This window comes from Homo sapiens, chromosome 4 (genome assembly GCF_000001405.40).
Source record: "Homo sapiens chromosome 4, GRCh38.p14 Primary Assembly".
NCBI lineage: Eukaryota > Metazoa > Chordata > Mammalia > Primates > Hominidae > Homo > Homo sapiens.
In genome coordinates this window covers 169001750-169017710 of record NC_000004.12, presented here as the reverse complement: position 1 = coordinate 169017710, position 15961 = coordinate 169001750, and the positions used below count along the sequence as shown (strand labels likewise).

Genomic DNA, 15961 nt, shown 5'->3' with positions numbered 1-15961 from the left:
CATTTTCAGGATTCCTGGGAAGATGAGGGAGAGACAATATCATGTAGTGGTTGGGGAGAAGGCTCTGTAGCGAGACTGCTTGAGTAGAAATTCTACAAGTTCTGCCACTTACTAGTTGTGTGATCTTGGACAATCTAACATCTCTGTGCTTTGGCTTCCTTGTTTGCAAACACAAGGGTAGCAATATTTTTCTACATCATAGTTTGCTGTGAGAATTAAACACAAGTAGACAGTGTACTTGGCACATAGCATTTAAGTTATCCAATGAGCATTTGCTGTTATCTTGGTAAGGGCTTACTTTTGTTTTTTGTTGTTGTTGTTGTTGTTGTTGTTGTTTTTTGAGACAGAGTTTCACTGTTGCTGCCCAGGCTGGAGTGCAATGGTGCAATCTTGGCTCACCGCAACCTCAGCCTCCCGGGTTCAAACGATTCTCCTGCCTCAGCCTCCCGAGTAGTTGGGATTACAGGCATGTGAAACCCGGCTAATTTTGTATTTTTAGTAGAGACAGGGTTTCTCCATGTTGGTGAGGCTGGTCTCGAACTCTGGACCTCAAGTGATCCACCCGCTCTGGCCTCCCAAAGTGCTGGGATTACAGGCGTGAGCCACCGTGTCTGGCCAGTAAGGGCTTACTTTTACACACCCACCCACCCACCTACACACTCTCACAAACACATGTATACACATACATATAATAATGCATACATACCTATAATGTATACCTATAATAAAATATACACATGTGTATATATGTATACATATATAGATGTCTACACACACACATGCCCCCCTGCCTATTTGGCCTGAGCCTGAAGCTCTATGTTCCTATAGCACTTCATTCACATTTACAGCCTTTATCACACTGTATCGTAATCTGCTTATTTGTCTGTTTCTCTCAACACATGTGAGCTCCACAATTCAGGTAATTGCCTTCTTTGCCCTCTTATCCCCAGAGCTTTACATCTGATACTGGGGATGTTCCTGAGCTCGCAGTAGATTCATATTGTTGGACAGGTAGATGCTAGATGATATTTCCCTGTTAGATTGTCATCCCTTTAGCTTAACACTTGGCTCTCGGCTCAATTTACATGTCCCTAGGTGACATAACACTTTATGCTGTTACATTATTTACCACCTAGAGGGAATGAATTTCCAAGTCCTCCCTGAAAGTAAGCTTTGGCAAGAAGATAGGAGAGGACCTCGAGGGGTCTGGATGCTGCAGGCCATGGGCAAGTGACGAGGATGAGATTCACAATCTTCCTGTTTCTGCTCTGGAATAGGTCTCATAGTAACAACCTCTCCCCAACTCAACTCACACAATCAGCAGTGGCTGTGTGATATTACTTAGCAGCACTTTGCAGCTTGCCTGTAGTAGAGAAGAAAGTAAACAGTCACATTGTATCTGCTGGGACTGCCATAAAAAAATACCACAGACTGGGTGGTTTCGACACCAGAAATTAATTTTCTCACAGTTCTGGAGCCTGAAAGTCTGAGATCAAGGTGCAATCGTGTTGGTTTCTGGTGAGGCTTCTCTTCCGGGCTTGCAGATAGCTGCCTTCTCACTGTGTCCTCACATGGCCTTGTACAGGGAGGCAACAGAGAGAGAGAGAGACAGAGAGAGAGAGAGAGAGAGAGAGAGAGAGAGAGAGAGAGAGAGAGAGATTCCCAGCACAAGCTCTCTGGTGTCCTATTGGATTAGAGCCCTACCCTTAGAACCTCATTTAATCTTAATTATCTCCCTAAGGGCACTATCTCCAAATACAGCCACATTGGAGGTTAGGACTTGAACATATGAATATGGCAGGAGAGGGGGGAGCGGGGAGGGACACGATTCAGTCAATAACATACATTAATCCCAAGTGGAGGCTTATTTTAATTAAGTTTTGTGTATGGCCCAAGTTTTCTACTCTGCATAACTGTTTAATCAAAATCCAAACTGAGAGATGGGTCTCTGTAGCCTGTAGATGAGAAACAAAAAGCAGTGATCCTTAAAATGAGATCCCTACAGGCACACGGGTGCCTTCTGGAAATGCAGAAGCCATTACCTGCAAGTCAGTTTCAAATGTTAAACCATACAGTATCGATTCTGGCTTTCCCAGGTGACTTGCAAGAGTGAGAACGTCTTTCAGAGCCCAAGTGCAGTGAAGGCTGCCAGGCCCGTGCCTCTGATACAGATCTAGGAGTCTGAGTAGCCGCAGGGCCTGGATGGGAAAGGCTCACTTAAGTCTGGGAAATGCAGCAGGTGAGTTGAGAGCCACGTGAGACTATGCAGCCAGAAGGATAGAGGGGGGAAGGCCCTGAAACAAAGAGATGGAAATGGAATAGTGAGAGGCTGGGGTCAGAGGATTGAGGCCAGTCTTAAAACTAATTTCAGGAACACTGAGTTCTCCTCTTCTATGTGGCTTGGCAGGCGTGCTGCATTTGGGGCCTGATTTTAAGTATCCAGAGCTGGCTTTATACCATTATAAAATTTTTGGCTGGGAAAAAAAAAAGAGTTTCATAAAATTTCAGGCATTATGCTCTCCCATGGTACTTCCTGGTGAAATGTCCAACCTGTGATCTCATCTAGGCGTAATACTAACTCTACTTTGACTAACAATCTCTTTCATTATTAAGGGTGAATTTTTAATTCAGAATTTTATTCTTCATGTATAAATTATGTTATCACCTAGTTGGCTTTGTAACATAATGAATGGATAGTAGCTGTAGTTATCATTCTTTGCAATCTTTCTTTGTTATTATTCATTTACTTTATAGAACATTATGTCCTGAAAGAAGAAGCCTTCTCTGACCCCAGGCCTCCATATTGGATCAATGCCCCTAGTTATGATCCCTCCTAGCAGCCTGTACTTCTCCTTTATAGTTCTTCCCACCATTGGAATTAAATAGTGATGGCATGATTAATTGTTTAATGTCTGTCTTCCTTGCCAGATTATTTTCCCAACGAAAACAGGCACCAGGTCTATCTTAATCATAGCTGTATCGACACTGGTTCTTGCTTATAGCAATAAATTCCTTTTAAGTGAGTTATTTCATTCACTCATTGATTCATTTGTTAACTCATTTATTTAGCATTCACAAGCCCTAGGAACTGTGCTACAAACAGGGAAACAAAAACCAATGTGATCATTTCTGGATTCAAAGAGTTGGCAATTAAAAACAGAAAGTTTTTAACCATTTTATTTTATTTTTTATGTTTTTTTAAAAAAGATGAGGTCTCACCATGTTGCCCAGGCTGGTCTCAAATGCCTGGGCTCAAGTGATCCTGCCGCCTCCATCTCCCAAAATGCTGGGATTACAGGCGTGAGCCACTACACCTGGCACTTAACCATTTTAGGTGAAAGTTCCCCTTGAGAACCCAGTGAAGGAAGTGGACCCTCTTTCAAGAAGCTACTCATCTAAAAAGCACATGAGATTTTGTATTCAGCTTGGTAGGTTCACAGATCCTTGAGAATCTATTCACTATCTTCCTAAAATTATGTGGATTCTGACGTCACAGTAACTCCATGAAATACAGACTTGAAGACACATACAAGGTAAGAGGACGGGTAAAGAAGGACATCAGCATGTCCTCCTTTGGGTCAGGAGAAGCTTCCATTGCAAGAGATGTTTGAGCCACATTTTGAATGATAAATCAGATGTTACCAGGGAAAGCAGTGGGAGCATTCGAGGTTGAGAAGACAGTGTTTGGAGAAGCATGGATGTGTAGAAGTTGGAATGGTATTTAGGGAGTAGAATCAGCAGGACTTTGTGACTGATTGGATGTGGGATGTTGAGAGAGGGAAGGAATAAACTCCATGCTTCTGCCTTAGGCAACTGAGTGCCAGGTTTAGGTCTCGGTGGGCAGCCTCAGAGGCATAAACGCCAATTCAACAAAATAACAAGCTCATGGGCCACATTTTTTGTTCCCAATCAAAATGAAATAAACTTTTGTAAGTGATAAAAAGTACATTCCTTACAATTTAGATTACCCAGCAGATTGGATACAAGAATGCCAATGAGGAAATCAACATGCTTTTTAATCATAAAAGTTATATCTGTGCAGCCACACTAAGGCAGCTTTCTAATCTTTCTTCTTGAAAGAAGAGCATGGTCTGTATGGAGAAGTTAGCTGGCCACATGCAATTTGGGTCGTGCAGATTATCATCACTGCCTGAAGAATCCTGGGAGACTGCTTGCTGGCAGGAAGGGTTATGCTTCAATTATGGATCTGATAAGCTGGATGTGCTTAGTATGGTGCATTTGTAAAGAGGATTCTCAATGAATATTCAATCATAATTCATAAATTTCTTATAAATAAATTTTCCTGCATATTTGGAATCTTGGGCATTATAAATCTTGACGTATGAAAAAAATATTCATGAAAGGTACAACCCCCTTATAATTAGTTGCAGATTCAAATTTCGTATAACAGGGCAGTAGGCTTTAAATTACATCTTTTTCAATAACAGTTCCATTGGGATATAATTTGCATACGATACAATTCACACGCTTAAAGTGTACAATGCTTTCAATGAGTTTTTATTTACTTTAAAAAGTTTATGTTTTCTAACTGTTAGCAATTAAATGGTATTCCTTTTGTAATCAGAAAAGTAATACTAGGTATGCATATTTAAAAATTTGTATAACAGTCCTTATACATAAGGAATTTTCTCCTTCGATTGTGGGAGCCAAGAGAAAATATATCCTATGTGGATTTAAGTTAAAGTATAACATATGGTTAAAATATTACCACAAAAGTGGCATGTTTAGTGAGAAGGAAAGACTAAAGGTGGGTCATTCTAATGGCTTCCTTCAATGTCCTGCTGGGTAGGGGAGACCCAGTTTAATTTACAGATCCTCACTTCACTATCAGGGGCTTACAGAGAAACTTCCCCTGCTGTAACCTTCTCAGCTAATGGGTGATGTGCTGTGATAGATGTATTCTCACCCGGGATAGTGGTGATATTGTATTAAGAGGGAAAAAAAATAAATAATAACCTTGAGGTTTAACCTGAGGTATGTGTTGAATAAAAAGCCCAGCTTATCCATTTACAGTATATATACAGTGAGAAAAGTTGGAAGGTTTTCAGAATTCTGAATGTCACCTCATATCATGTGTTAGTGATCTTCATGATAGATGGCATAGATCTAAAAACCATTTTTTTTTGCTAAAATAACAATGTGTAGAAAAAAAAATAATCATTTTCCTAGCAAATGGAGAGAACTGTTCAAAAGATAAACCTCTCTGGTTTGACCTAAGGTGCAGGAATACAGTTGGCATTTAGGCTGACCCTTATATTGGTAATTTATGTAAAACAGTTTTTTCTTTCCAAGATTGCATAGTGTATAGTAGGAAAGTGAATAGACAAATTTGATCTGACCCATTTTTACATCACTGGGAAACTGTTTGTTTGTTTTTTAGAACACTGTTATTTTGAGACAGGGTCCTGCTGTGTCATGCAGGCTGGACTGCAGTGGTGCAATCATGGCTCACTGCAGCCTTGACCTCCTGGACTTACATGATCCTCCCAACTCAGCCTCCCGAGTAGCTGGGACCACAGGTAGGCCACCATGTCCAGCTAATTTTTTTTTGTATTTTCTGTAGAGATGGGGGTCGGGGGGGTGGGGGTCTTGCTGTGTTTCCTGGGTTGGTTTTGAACTTCTAGACTCAAGCAATCCTCCTGTCTCAGCCTCCCAAAGTGCTGGGATTACAGGCATGAGCCACCACGCCTGGCCTGCTAATAGTTCTTAAATGCAGCTCTTATCTTATTACTTCTGCAGTTAAAGGCCTGTTTAATGCTTGGCACCTGACTTTAAAGCTGACTATAATATAGCACCATCCCAAATTTCCTCAGGCTTGTTTCCTCATTGTTTCAAACATATATTGTTTCAAAGACACAATTTTTATGTGTGACTGTTTGCTTATATTGTTTAACTTCCTATTGTATTTGCTTTTAATAAAGTCTAATAGATGCTATGAAAACAGCCTTACAATCTCTTTTTCTTTTCATGAAGCTCACTGTCTACTACAATGCTTAGTGTGCCATTTAGGAGGACCTATGAGGAGGGAGTTTTGCTCAGGCTTCTCTGCTGCATAACCAGGAGGCTGATTTCTTACAGAAATTACCACTTGTAATTATATTTCCTTTGTTGCTTTCGCTGGCAGGAAACTCTAAGTTTATGAATCTCTTCTTTAATACTAAATAGATTCTTATAGCATGACTTTATTCGTATTTTTTCCACTGACCTAATTTATTGTTCTGGCCTTGTGGGAGAAGGGGCAGTGGTCCTCTTTGCCTTTTAAATTCAAATACTCATGTATTTTTGCAAACCATTTCAAATCTTTTTTTGGATCTAAATGGAATAGGAATAACAAATTTAAATTAATGCTCAACTTGCTTATTTATAGACTTTTTGCTCTTGTTTTCCTTTTTTCAAACCTCATCCAGCCCTCAAATCCAGCTTTTCCATGCACCCCTTCATTCTTCACTGATCTCCATTTTCTCGGAGCTCTTGTGTTAATATAATTTTGCATTTTACTAAGTATGATTTTGGATACCTCCTAGTGTTTCATGTGTATTAGTCCTGTAGTTCTGGGTTGTAGTTTTTTTAGTGGTAGGGACCATGGCTCATACTTTTCTGAATCTAGTAAAATAATATTGTATCAGAAATGCTTTCTGTTTACACTATAATTGTAACAAACATTGAATTTTTTAGCTTATTAACTCTCAGAGCACCCAGTACATCTTATTTAGAATTGCAGGAACCCATTTTTGTTTCTCTACAGCAGCCGAAGCTTGTTTCATAGATCTTGCAAGACTATTCAATCATTCAGTTAAAATTCCTTGACCTCCTGCTGGATGATGTTCGACAGGGCATTCATCTTCACGACACCCTTCGCGATGAATGGTAACATCTGGGCGGGTAGAGGTCCATTTCTACAGCAACCTGGGGGAGGAACAGGTAGGGTAGGTTTTGGTGTGGGTGCGATTCTTGGGGACTTCTTCAACAGGTAGGACATCAAGTCTGTAGCCAAAACAACACCTGGGCGAAGGGCAAATACCGGAGCCCCGACCGGCTCACGCCCAGTAATGCTTTCTCTGGGTTCTAACTACGTGATCAGGTCGTCTTGGTTTGCCAGGGAAAGCCCAGCGTCTTGACAACCCTGTCAGTTCCGAACAAACCGGGTCGATTGGTCACCGGGGCTCGAATCCCGACTGATATGACCCAGCGGGGACAGAGGATCCCCCTCAGTGCCACAAGTACATTCCCCACCGAGCAGCGCGCCTGCGCCAGTTGCTCTCATGCGTCAAGACTACAGGTCCCAGCAAGCATCGAGGCCCTCTCCAGGCCATTCTTCCGCCGGCGGGGAGCTCTCGTCGGCGTATTTGTTAGGTGTGGCGCGGAAGAGTCCGTGCGTGATGACGTCGACGCGGCGACGTCGAGCTCTTCCTCCTTTTCACGGCGTCTTGCATTACTATTGTGCGGCTGCAGGAGGTGTCGAGCGGCGTTATTTTTTTTTGCGGTTTGCCTTTTTTTTTCTTTTTTTTTTTTTTGGAACCGCGGTTGTTTAAAAGCCTGAGGGAACCTGGAGAGGGGCTCCCACTCCCTACCCTCTTTCCTCCGAGTTTGTGACTCCGAGATGGACAAAGTGTGTGCTGTTTTTGGAGGCTCCCGAGGCATTGGCAGAGCTGTGGCCCAGTTAATGGCCCGGAAAGGCTACCGACTGGCGGTCATTGCCAGAAACCTGGAAGGGGCCAAAGCCGCCGCCGGTGACCTCGGCGGTAGGTACCAAACTGGAGTTGTCCAGTTGTATGGCCGCGGTCCAGGCGCCTAAAGAAAATCTCCTTTGTAAAAAGAGCGGGTCTGGCCTTTAGGGCTCTAGGGTTACTCGATGTAGCCGCGTGCAGGCGCTCTCCCGTTCCAAGGGTAGAATGCGTCTCGTGCAGAAACCCGCGATCTCCCTATGCCTCGCAGAATGCCGGCCACGCAGCTTGCCGCCGAGGGCTGAACACTTGGGGTGTTCTTTGAGACCTCGTAGTCTTTTGAGGCCCCGCTATACGCACCCTCCGCCCTGCGGCTAGTGCTAACGCTGAGGAGCTTCCCTGTTGTGGGAGAGAGCCACGTAACAGTTTACTTTTAATGTAGGGAAAAGGGCGAGTTCTCGGCCCCCGGAGACAGGGCTGGGTCGAAAGGAGTTCAGGCAGGAAAGGTGGGAGTGCAGGTACCAACGGCTCCCTTCAGTTTTGCCCAAGGGCCGTGCCTTGGCCCTGCGCGAATGCACAAAGCAGTGTTTGATAGAGAAACCCTTTTGAGTACCAGCCAGTTTTGAGATATACCTGGTTTGCTTTAATGTTATTAAATTGTTTTGGTGAGTTTTGCAAATGGACAATTGAACTTTGTTCTGCCAAATTCTTTTTTATTGCATTTAAACTTCAGGGTTTTTTATTTCCGGCTTATTATGAATGGATTAGTCATTTTGTGAATATAACTCTTCATTGAGTTTAGGGAGAAATAGGACGTTAGATCCGAAGATGCTATTTGTTTAATCACCAGAATGGACAAAATTATACTTCATTTACTATCAGGGAGGCATGGGGAGAATAGAGGCCTAGGGGTGCGTCTTGTGGCTCTTACTGTTTTTGTGTATCTGGTTTTTTTTTTTTTTTTTTGAGAGGGCTTCCCATTATGTTGCCCGTGCTGGACCCCAACTCCTGATTTACTGGCTCTAGAGATCTTCTCGCCTCAGTCTCCCAAGGACCTGGGACTATAGACGCCAGGTGTGGCTGTTCATTTTTAAGTTAACATTATTGATCGGTTTGGTATCACCTGTTCAGTGCTGGTTGGGAGACTATTGGGCTCTCTAAAAGAAAAAAGATTCTGTAAGTTATAGGTCAGGGAGAGTGTCAGTGAATGCTTCTTGAAGCTCATATTCCTTACCATTCTAACAAAGGAGGGGAAGAGTGGTGACCCTTACTGTGTCACCCCAAGCCATCAGTGTTTGCTGGACTGGATTGAAGCCATTAGTTGGGCTTTCAAAGGTGGTTGTGGACACAAGTCTTCGGGTGAAAACCAAGAGTAAGAGAGACACAGGATGCTTTTGGGCCCTGCATTCCTTTGAATCGTGTTCCATGAGTGATTGGTTTTCATCTAGAAAGTATAATTCCCCGGGTCGCTTACTGTTTCCAAAGGCTTGATGGGGTAGTGTTGGTGTAAGCATATTTATCAAGGTCAGACAGAAAATAAAGAATTGTTTTAGCTTTTAAAAACAATCCTACATTTTAGAGTATTAAAATGGTAGATTACATAGGGAATGCTTTGTTTTCCTTTGAAGTGTAGTTTTTTTTTGGCATTTAACCATTTTTTAAAAGTGGTAAGTAACAGTTGCTTTTAGTAAAAAGTGTTTTTTTCCCCCCGTGGTTTGTAGTTTTAGCATTTTTATAGCTTCCTGTGTTGTCTCATCTCTCCTGATGGTCAGGTTTGAATAATAGTCGTTATAATATATGTGCCATAGTGCATCCGTAGCACTTAAAAAGAAGAAACCCAAGAGTTCCCGTTCAGGGCCAAAGAAACTAATTCAACAAAAACCTGACAGAATTAGACATAAATTTCAAAAAAGGAATATAAAACCCAGAAGACTGTCGAATTGGGTAGCATGAATTCAGTGTTAAAGCTATAAATATTAGATGAATCTTACAGAGCCTTTATAACTTGAAAAAGCCCTCCCCCCTTTGTTGATTAAAAAGAAAATTTTAAAATTAACTTTCTGTAGTAGTACTTTATTTCCTCTTTGTTCCCGCATCCCAGTTTCATTAGACCAACTCTATGAAAGCCAGGCCTCATGACATTACTTTTTTAATCTTTAGGTTCTAGATTAGCACAGGCCTGCCATCTTAGATAGATGCTTAACAAATGTGTATTGAGTAAATTTAAAATTTGAGTTATAAGTAATTCTTATTTAACTTTGTTGTGTAGGAGATCATTTGGCATTTAGCTGTGATGTTGCTAAAGAACATGATGTTCAAAATACATTTGAAGAGCTGGAGAAACATTTAGGTCGAGTAAATTTCTTGGTAAATGCAGCTGGTATTAACAGGTTGGTCACAGATTTAAATAAGTTTCTTATATATATATTTAAAACTTTTATTCCTAATATGTCTTTGATTGGTATAAGTTAATATGTTTATTTTGCTTCTAACTGGGAGAAAAAACTATTTTAAAACTTGTCAATCCATAAATTATTTTCCTTTATATTGAGATACAACATATAATAAATGTCCAGTTGAGTCGATTTTAACATTGTAATCATCACCCATATTGAGCCGTAGAATGTTTCCAGTGCTCCAGAAGGTAGTGTCTTCTCAATACTTCCTTGTTGGTAACTGTTTTCTGAGTTTTGTCACCACAGATAAGTTTTGCCAGTTTGTGAACTTAATACTAATAGAATCATGGAGTGGATATTATTTTTTAAAAGATGAATTTAGGAGAGAATATTTAGATAACATATTAATTTTCTTGCTAAACAAGGCTTAGTATGGCAGTTGCTCAGGCCATTCAAACTATTTTGGCTATATGTTACTACTTTTTAGGGGTTAAGAATATTTGCCACTCAAGCTGAGAAGGGGTAGCAACCTGTCTTCCAAGTGGATCCTTTCTGGTTTATCAATTGTTATTTTAATGTTTCTCAAGCCAAGTTCAAAATGGGACTCTAGGTATTCTAGCTATTCTAGCTCAGATAGGAAGCACTTCTTGCACTCTCAGTAAAAATGTTACATTAGTCTTGACCTTTTTGGTTTTTATCTTGTTATTATATGCTATTATATGCTGTTTCTTTTTGTAGGGATGGTCTTTTAGTAAGAACAAAAACTGAAGATATGGTATCTCAGCTTCATACTAACCTCTTGGGTTCCATGCTGACCTGTAAAGCTGCCATGAGGACTATGATTCAACAACAGGGAGGGTCTATTGTTAATGTAGGTGAGTCTTCACCTTTGTGAATTTATGATTATCCCATAATACCATACCATAAAAATATTTAATCCACGAATTTGTGATTTATTGTGAAACATGAATGAAATTTATATTATCTGTGGAAAAAAGGATTTAATTAATTGATTAATGAGTAAAATAAGAATCACACATTCACATCCCTATAGGAGTCAGGCAGGTGTTAAATGAGTGACACCACTGAGTACTAGAAAAATGACAGTACCAGCCATGTGATAAATGATATCCAGCTTCATTGTCCAGAGCCCATATGGAATGGTGGAGGCCACCACTTAGATTCAGTAGATTGTTGCCGTGCAAGAATGTGGTCCCAGTTTTGCCAGCAATTTTGATTTTTCAAGAGAAATTGGATCATTCTGATTTTTATGTGAATTTTTTTTTTTTTAAATAGAGACGAGGTCACACTATGTGGCCTAGGCTGGTCTTTAACTCATGGGCTCAAGTGATCCTCCCGAAGTGCTGGGATTATAGAGGTGAGCCACGTGCCCAGCCAGGAACCTGATTTTTAAAACATGGACAAGGAATTAAAGTAGACAGTGGTGGCTAAATAATATTGTCTACAGCAGTTTCATGGGTTACTGTTAAATCTTGTGTAGAGGTTTAAAGGAAGATAAAATTTCTCTGTTTTTAAGAATGGATGTAAGTAACCCCTAGTTTTCAGTTCATCTAACCCACAGGGCAGATAAGCTGTGGAGTATATGCCTGTAGAACTTAAAATGCAAAATGACTTGAAATTTTATTTCAGTTTGGTAATTTGGAAATAATAGTATACCATCTGCTTTTTATTTTCAAATGGTAATACCTTAAAAGGCCACAGAAGGGAGATGCTGCTCCATAAAAGTAAGTGACCCTGTTCTTTTAAATGTAGGAAATGGTTTTTCAAGCCAGAATTTAGAGTTTTTCTGTTTTGAAAGTGAGAAAAGGAAAGAATACTATGCTAATAAACTAAGGGGACATGAGAGCATTTTGGACATTTACTCTTAAAAATTTAAGGGATCCGTTTTCTTATGTAAGAGATTAGTCAATGAGTCAACCTTTGCCTTTTAACACAGCCAGATAAGGACTTTGGATACTTACAAGCAGGCAAACAGGCCTGTATCTGTCACCTGATAACCTGAGGTATATTTGTTTAACTCTAAAATCTTCTTTTTTTTAGGTGTATTTAAAAAACCCATTAGTCCTCCTTATGCATGCAAAACTTTTAGAATTGAGCTAAAAGTAAATAATAGATAGTAAATTGAGAATCTTACTACAGGAAGGACTACTTTAAACTGCCAGACACTTCATTGGTATTTCAGAAATTACCACTTTTTGACCTGATGAACAGTAGTGCGTGGCACGAATCAAAGCTGCTAAAGCAGCTTGTGTTTTTTTTTCTTTTAAAAGCCACTCATATTTAGCAGTTGGGGGTTGTATACTAACTTTAGTGACACTACTGTTAATAGGTTCTGATAACCCGCTACCATCGGACCAGCCCTGTTTTGGTATTTTTTTCGTGCATGTATTTTTCTTTTTTTGTGTCTCTGTATTTTTCTTTCTGATAAACACCCCTCTATCCATATGCATTTCTTCAGTCTGATGTCTGTTCTCTCTGTGTACTTCACAGTTCTCTTCCTTTGTTATTAATTGGCCTACAATATATAATGTAGATAAATATTCTAATACTGAACTTGTTGATTCTAATAGAGAAATGTTTGGAATGTTTTCTTTTTTTAAAATTACTTTAAAAAAATTTTGTGAGGTCCTTGATTAATTTTTGTATCATAAGTACAGGTCAGTGGTGCAGAAAATTACTTCCCCACTTCTGTTTTGCAAGAGTTTATTTGCATATAGTTGATATTTGAATTAAAAATTATTATTACATATTCATTAGATGTGGTCACTCAAGAATCTTCAGTAGGCAGTACAGTTTACAATATATCACTGAATGTAATGAAATTGCACTTTTACAAAAAGTGTATAATTGAAGCTTTGCCAATTTAGATTGACAGTACAAGCATGTCTCGCAGATATTGTAGCTTTGGTTCTGCTCCACCGGAATAAAGCGAATATGTCAAGAATGTAAGTCACACAAATTGAATTGCTGCAATCTCATGATAAAACAAATGGGTGAGGAGTTGCTTCTTATGTATGGATAAACAAAGTTGTTTCTCAAGATGGAATCTACTTGTGAAGATGTGAATACTGTTGAAATGACAAAGGATTTAGAATATCCTATAAACTTAGTTGATAAAGCAATAGCAGGGATTGAGAGGAGAGGCTCCAATTTTTAAAGTTCTACTTGGATAAAATGCTATCAAAGAGCATCACATGCTGCAGAGAAATCTTTCATGAAATGAAGAGTCAATCAATGTGGCAAATTTTGTCTTATCCAATTGTTTAGTTTCTCAGTGCATGTAAAAGTTATATTATGGTCTATTAAGTATGCAGTAGCATTATATCTAAAAAAAATGTAAATACTTTGTTGCTAAAAAAATACTTTATTGCTAAAAAATGCTAATGATCATCTGAGCTTCTGGCAAGTCATAATCTTTGCTGGCGGAGGGTCTTGCCTTGATGTTTATGGCTGCTGACTGATAATAGTGGCTGTGGCAATTTCTTTATTTTTTTTATTTTTTTATTTTATTATTGTTATACTTTAAGTTTTAGGGTACCGTGCACAATGTGCAGGTTAGTTACATATGTATACATGTGCCATGCTGGTGTGCTGCACCCACTAACTCGTCATCTAGCGTTAGGTATATCTCCCAATGCTATCCCTCCCCGCTTCCCCCACCCCACAACAGTCCCCAGAGCGTGATGTTCCCCTTCCTGTGTCCATGTGTTCTCATTGTTCAGTTCCCACCTATGAGTGAGAACATGCGGTGTTTGGTTTTTTGTCCTTGCGATAGTTTACTGAGAATGATTTCCAATTTCATTCATGTCCCTACAAAGGACATGAACTCATCATTTTTTATGGCTGCTTAGTATTCCATGGTGTATATGTGCCACATTTTCTTAATCCAGTCTGTCATTGTTGCACATTTGATTTGGTTCCAAGTCTTAGAATAAGACAAAATTTGCCACATTGATTGACTCTTCATTTCGTGAGAGATTTCTCTGCAGCATGTGATGCTGTTTGATAGCATTTTATGCAAGTAGATCTTTAAAAATTGGAGCCACTCCTCTCAATCCCTGCTATTGCTTTATCAACTAAGTTTATAGGATATTCTAAATCCTTTGTCATTTCTTTCAACAGTATTCACATCTTCACAAGGAAGAGATTCCATCTTGAGAAACAACTTTGTTTATCCATACATAAGAAGCAACTCCTCACCCATTTGTTTTATCATAAGATTGCAGCAATTCAGTCACATCTTCAGGCTCCACTTGTAATTCTGCTCCACTGAAGTCTTGAACCCCACAAAGTCATCCATGAGGGTTAAAATAACTTCTTTCAAACTTCTGTTAATGTTGGTATTTTGACCTGCCATGAATCACAAATGTTCTGAATGGCATATAGAACGGTGAATCCTTTCCAGAAGGCTTTTAATTTACTTTGCCCAGATTCCTAAGAGGAATTACTATTTATGACTGCTATAGACTTATAAAATGTTTCTTAAATAAGACTTGAAAGTCAGAATTATCCCTTGATCCATGAGCTGAAGAAAGGATATTGTGTTAACAGGCACGAAAACAACATTAATCTCCTTGTACATATCCATCAGAGCTCTTTGGTGACCAGATGCATTGTCAGTGAGCAGTAATATTTTGTTTGTGGCACCCCAACAGCAGTAAACATCAAGAATCACTGATCACAGATCATTATAACAGATGTAATAATAATGAAAAAATTTAAGATGGTATGAAAATTACCAAAATGTGACAAAGAGACACAGAGTGAGCACTGCTCACAGTGAGCCATGGTGTTGGAAAAGTGCTAATAGAATTGCTTGTTGCAAGGTTGCTACAAGCCTTCAATTTGTTAAAAAAAAAAAAAAAAAATGCAATATCTGCAAAGCACAATAAAGCAGAACAATAAAATGAGTTATGCATGTAATTCAATTTTAGTGAGATTTAGCTTCAAATGAACTAGTTTTTAGGGTGAAAACGAGAGCTTTCTGCCTTATGTCTGTGTTGTAGAATCATAAAATTAGTCAGCTTTTGTCTGACTTTTTCTGGCTTTAACCTCTACCTGCTGGAAGCCTTTATAAATACCACAGAATTTTCATCATATCTGACCTACTCAGAGATTAGAGTGCATCCCCTTCACGTAGTGAATCAATTCGCAAGCACCTGCATTGGCAGTTTTGTATCAGCTGCTTTCAGATGCTATTTTCTGTATGTATCTGGAGCAGACTTGGACTCTTAAATCTTCCGTAAATGACTGATGACAATGGTTAGAATTTCTAATTTTAACAAAGGACAAGGTGAAGTGGGTTTTACCTTTTTGTTTACTATAAATTATCTAAATTTTCAAGTAACCCCATTAATTGAATTTAATACGCTTTTTTTTTTTTTTTTTTTTTTTTTGTCCTAGGAAGCATTGTTGGCTTAAAAGGCAACTCTGGCCAGTCCGTTTACAGTGCCAGTAAAGGAGGATTAGTTGGATTTTCACGTGCTCTTGCTAAAGAGGTAGCAAGAAAGAAAATTAGAGTGAATGTAGTTGCACCAGGTTAGTGAAAACTTTATTAAAATAACTTGATTATGATTATTGTTTTATAGGGAAGCCATTATTTGGAACATTAGTAATTGACATCTGGGTAGAATAGTTTGTAAAATGATTGTGAAAAGAATCAAATAATGAACTGGGGGACTCAAAAAAATTTTTTGTACCTCATATTCTATATAAAGTCTATGTGTTAGCCTGTTTGCATTGCTCTAAAGGACTGTCTGAGGTAATTCATAAAAAAAAGAGGCTTATTTGGCTCTCGGGCCTGCAGGCTGTACAAGCATGACACCAACATCTGCTCAGCTTCTGGTGAGGCCCAGGAAA

At 39.3% G+C, this 15961-nt stretch overlaps 1 protein-coding gene, 1 long non-coding RNA gene and 1 pseudogene across 11 annotated transcripts in view, besides 3 other annotated features; 1 reads left to right on the top strand and 2 right to left on the bottom strand.

The window, feature by feature from the left end:
* Positions 1065 to 1565: an enhancer, noted in NCBI's record as "H3K4me1 hESC enhancer chr4:169937297-169937797 (GRCh37/hg19 assembly coordinates)". NCBI's record gives its function as "activates a minimal SCP1, AML or CMV promoter by ChIP-STARR-seq in naive H9 embryonic stem cells {active_cell/tissue: H9 hESC(naive)}" and the evidence as "EXISTENCE:reporter gene assay evidence [ECO:0000049][PMID:30033119]".
* Positions 6651 to 7282, bottom strand: CBR4-DT (CBR4 divergent transcript). Its single transcript, NR_185919.1, has 2 exons — positions 7255 to 7282; positions 6651 to 6927 (listed from the first exon to the last, which is right to left on the bottom strand). It is a non-coding gene; the product is annotated as a CBR4 divergent transcript (long non-coding RNA).
* Positions 7077 to 7406: an enhancer, noted in NCBI's record as "active region_22128". NCBI's record gives its function as "activates an Ori minimal core promoter by ATAC-STARR-seq in GM12878 lymphoblastoid cells {active_cell/tissue: GM12878}" and the evidence as "EXISTENCE:reporter gene assay evidence [ECO:0000049][PMID:35858748]".
* Positions 7456 to 15961, top strand: part of CBR4 (carbonyl reductase 4) — a 115770-nt gene continuing 107264 nt past the window's right edge. For 5 of the 10 annotated variants that reach the window (XR_007057980.1, XR_001741341.2, XM_017008782.2 and 2 more), the window contains exons 1-5: positions 7456 to 7763; positions 9955 to 10075; positions 10820 to 10956; positions 11797 to 11826; positions 15506 to 15640. Coding sequence is in view for 8 of the 10 variants with exons in the window: in XM_017008782.2 (XP_016864271.1) it covers positions 7622 to 7763; positions 9955 to 10075; positions 10820 to 10956; positions 11797 to 11826; positions 15506 to 15640 (565 nt within the window). In the remaining 2 variants the exon portion in view is untranslated. The remainder of the gene's footprint in view (positions 7764 to 9954; positions 10076 to 10819; positions 10957 to 11796; positions 11827 to 15505; positions 15641 to 15961) is intronic. The other 5 variants (XM_005263315.4, XM_047416331.1, NM_032783.5 and 2 more) reach the window with 3 other exon arrangements.
* Positions 7506 to 8455: an enhancer, noted in NCBI's record as "H3K27ac hESC enhancer chr4:169930407-169931356 (GRCh37/hg19 assembly coordinates)". NCBI's record gives its function as "activates a minimal SCP1, AML or CMV promoter by ChIP-STARR-seq in primed H9 embryonic stem cells {active_cell/tissue: H9 hESC(primed)}" and the evidence as "EXISTENCE:reporter gene assay evidence [ECO:0000049][PMID:30033119]".
* On the bottom strand, positions 12368 to 12462 carry RNY4P17 (RNY4 pseudogene 17; annotated as a pseudogene).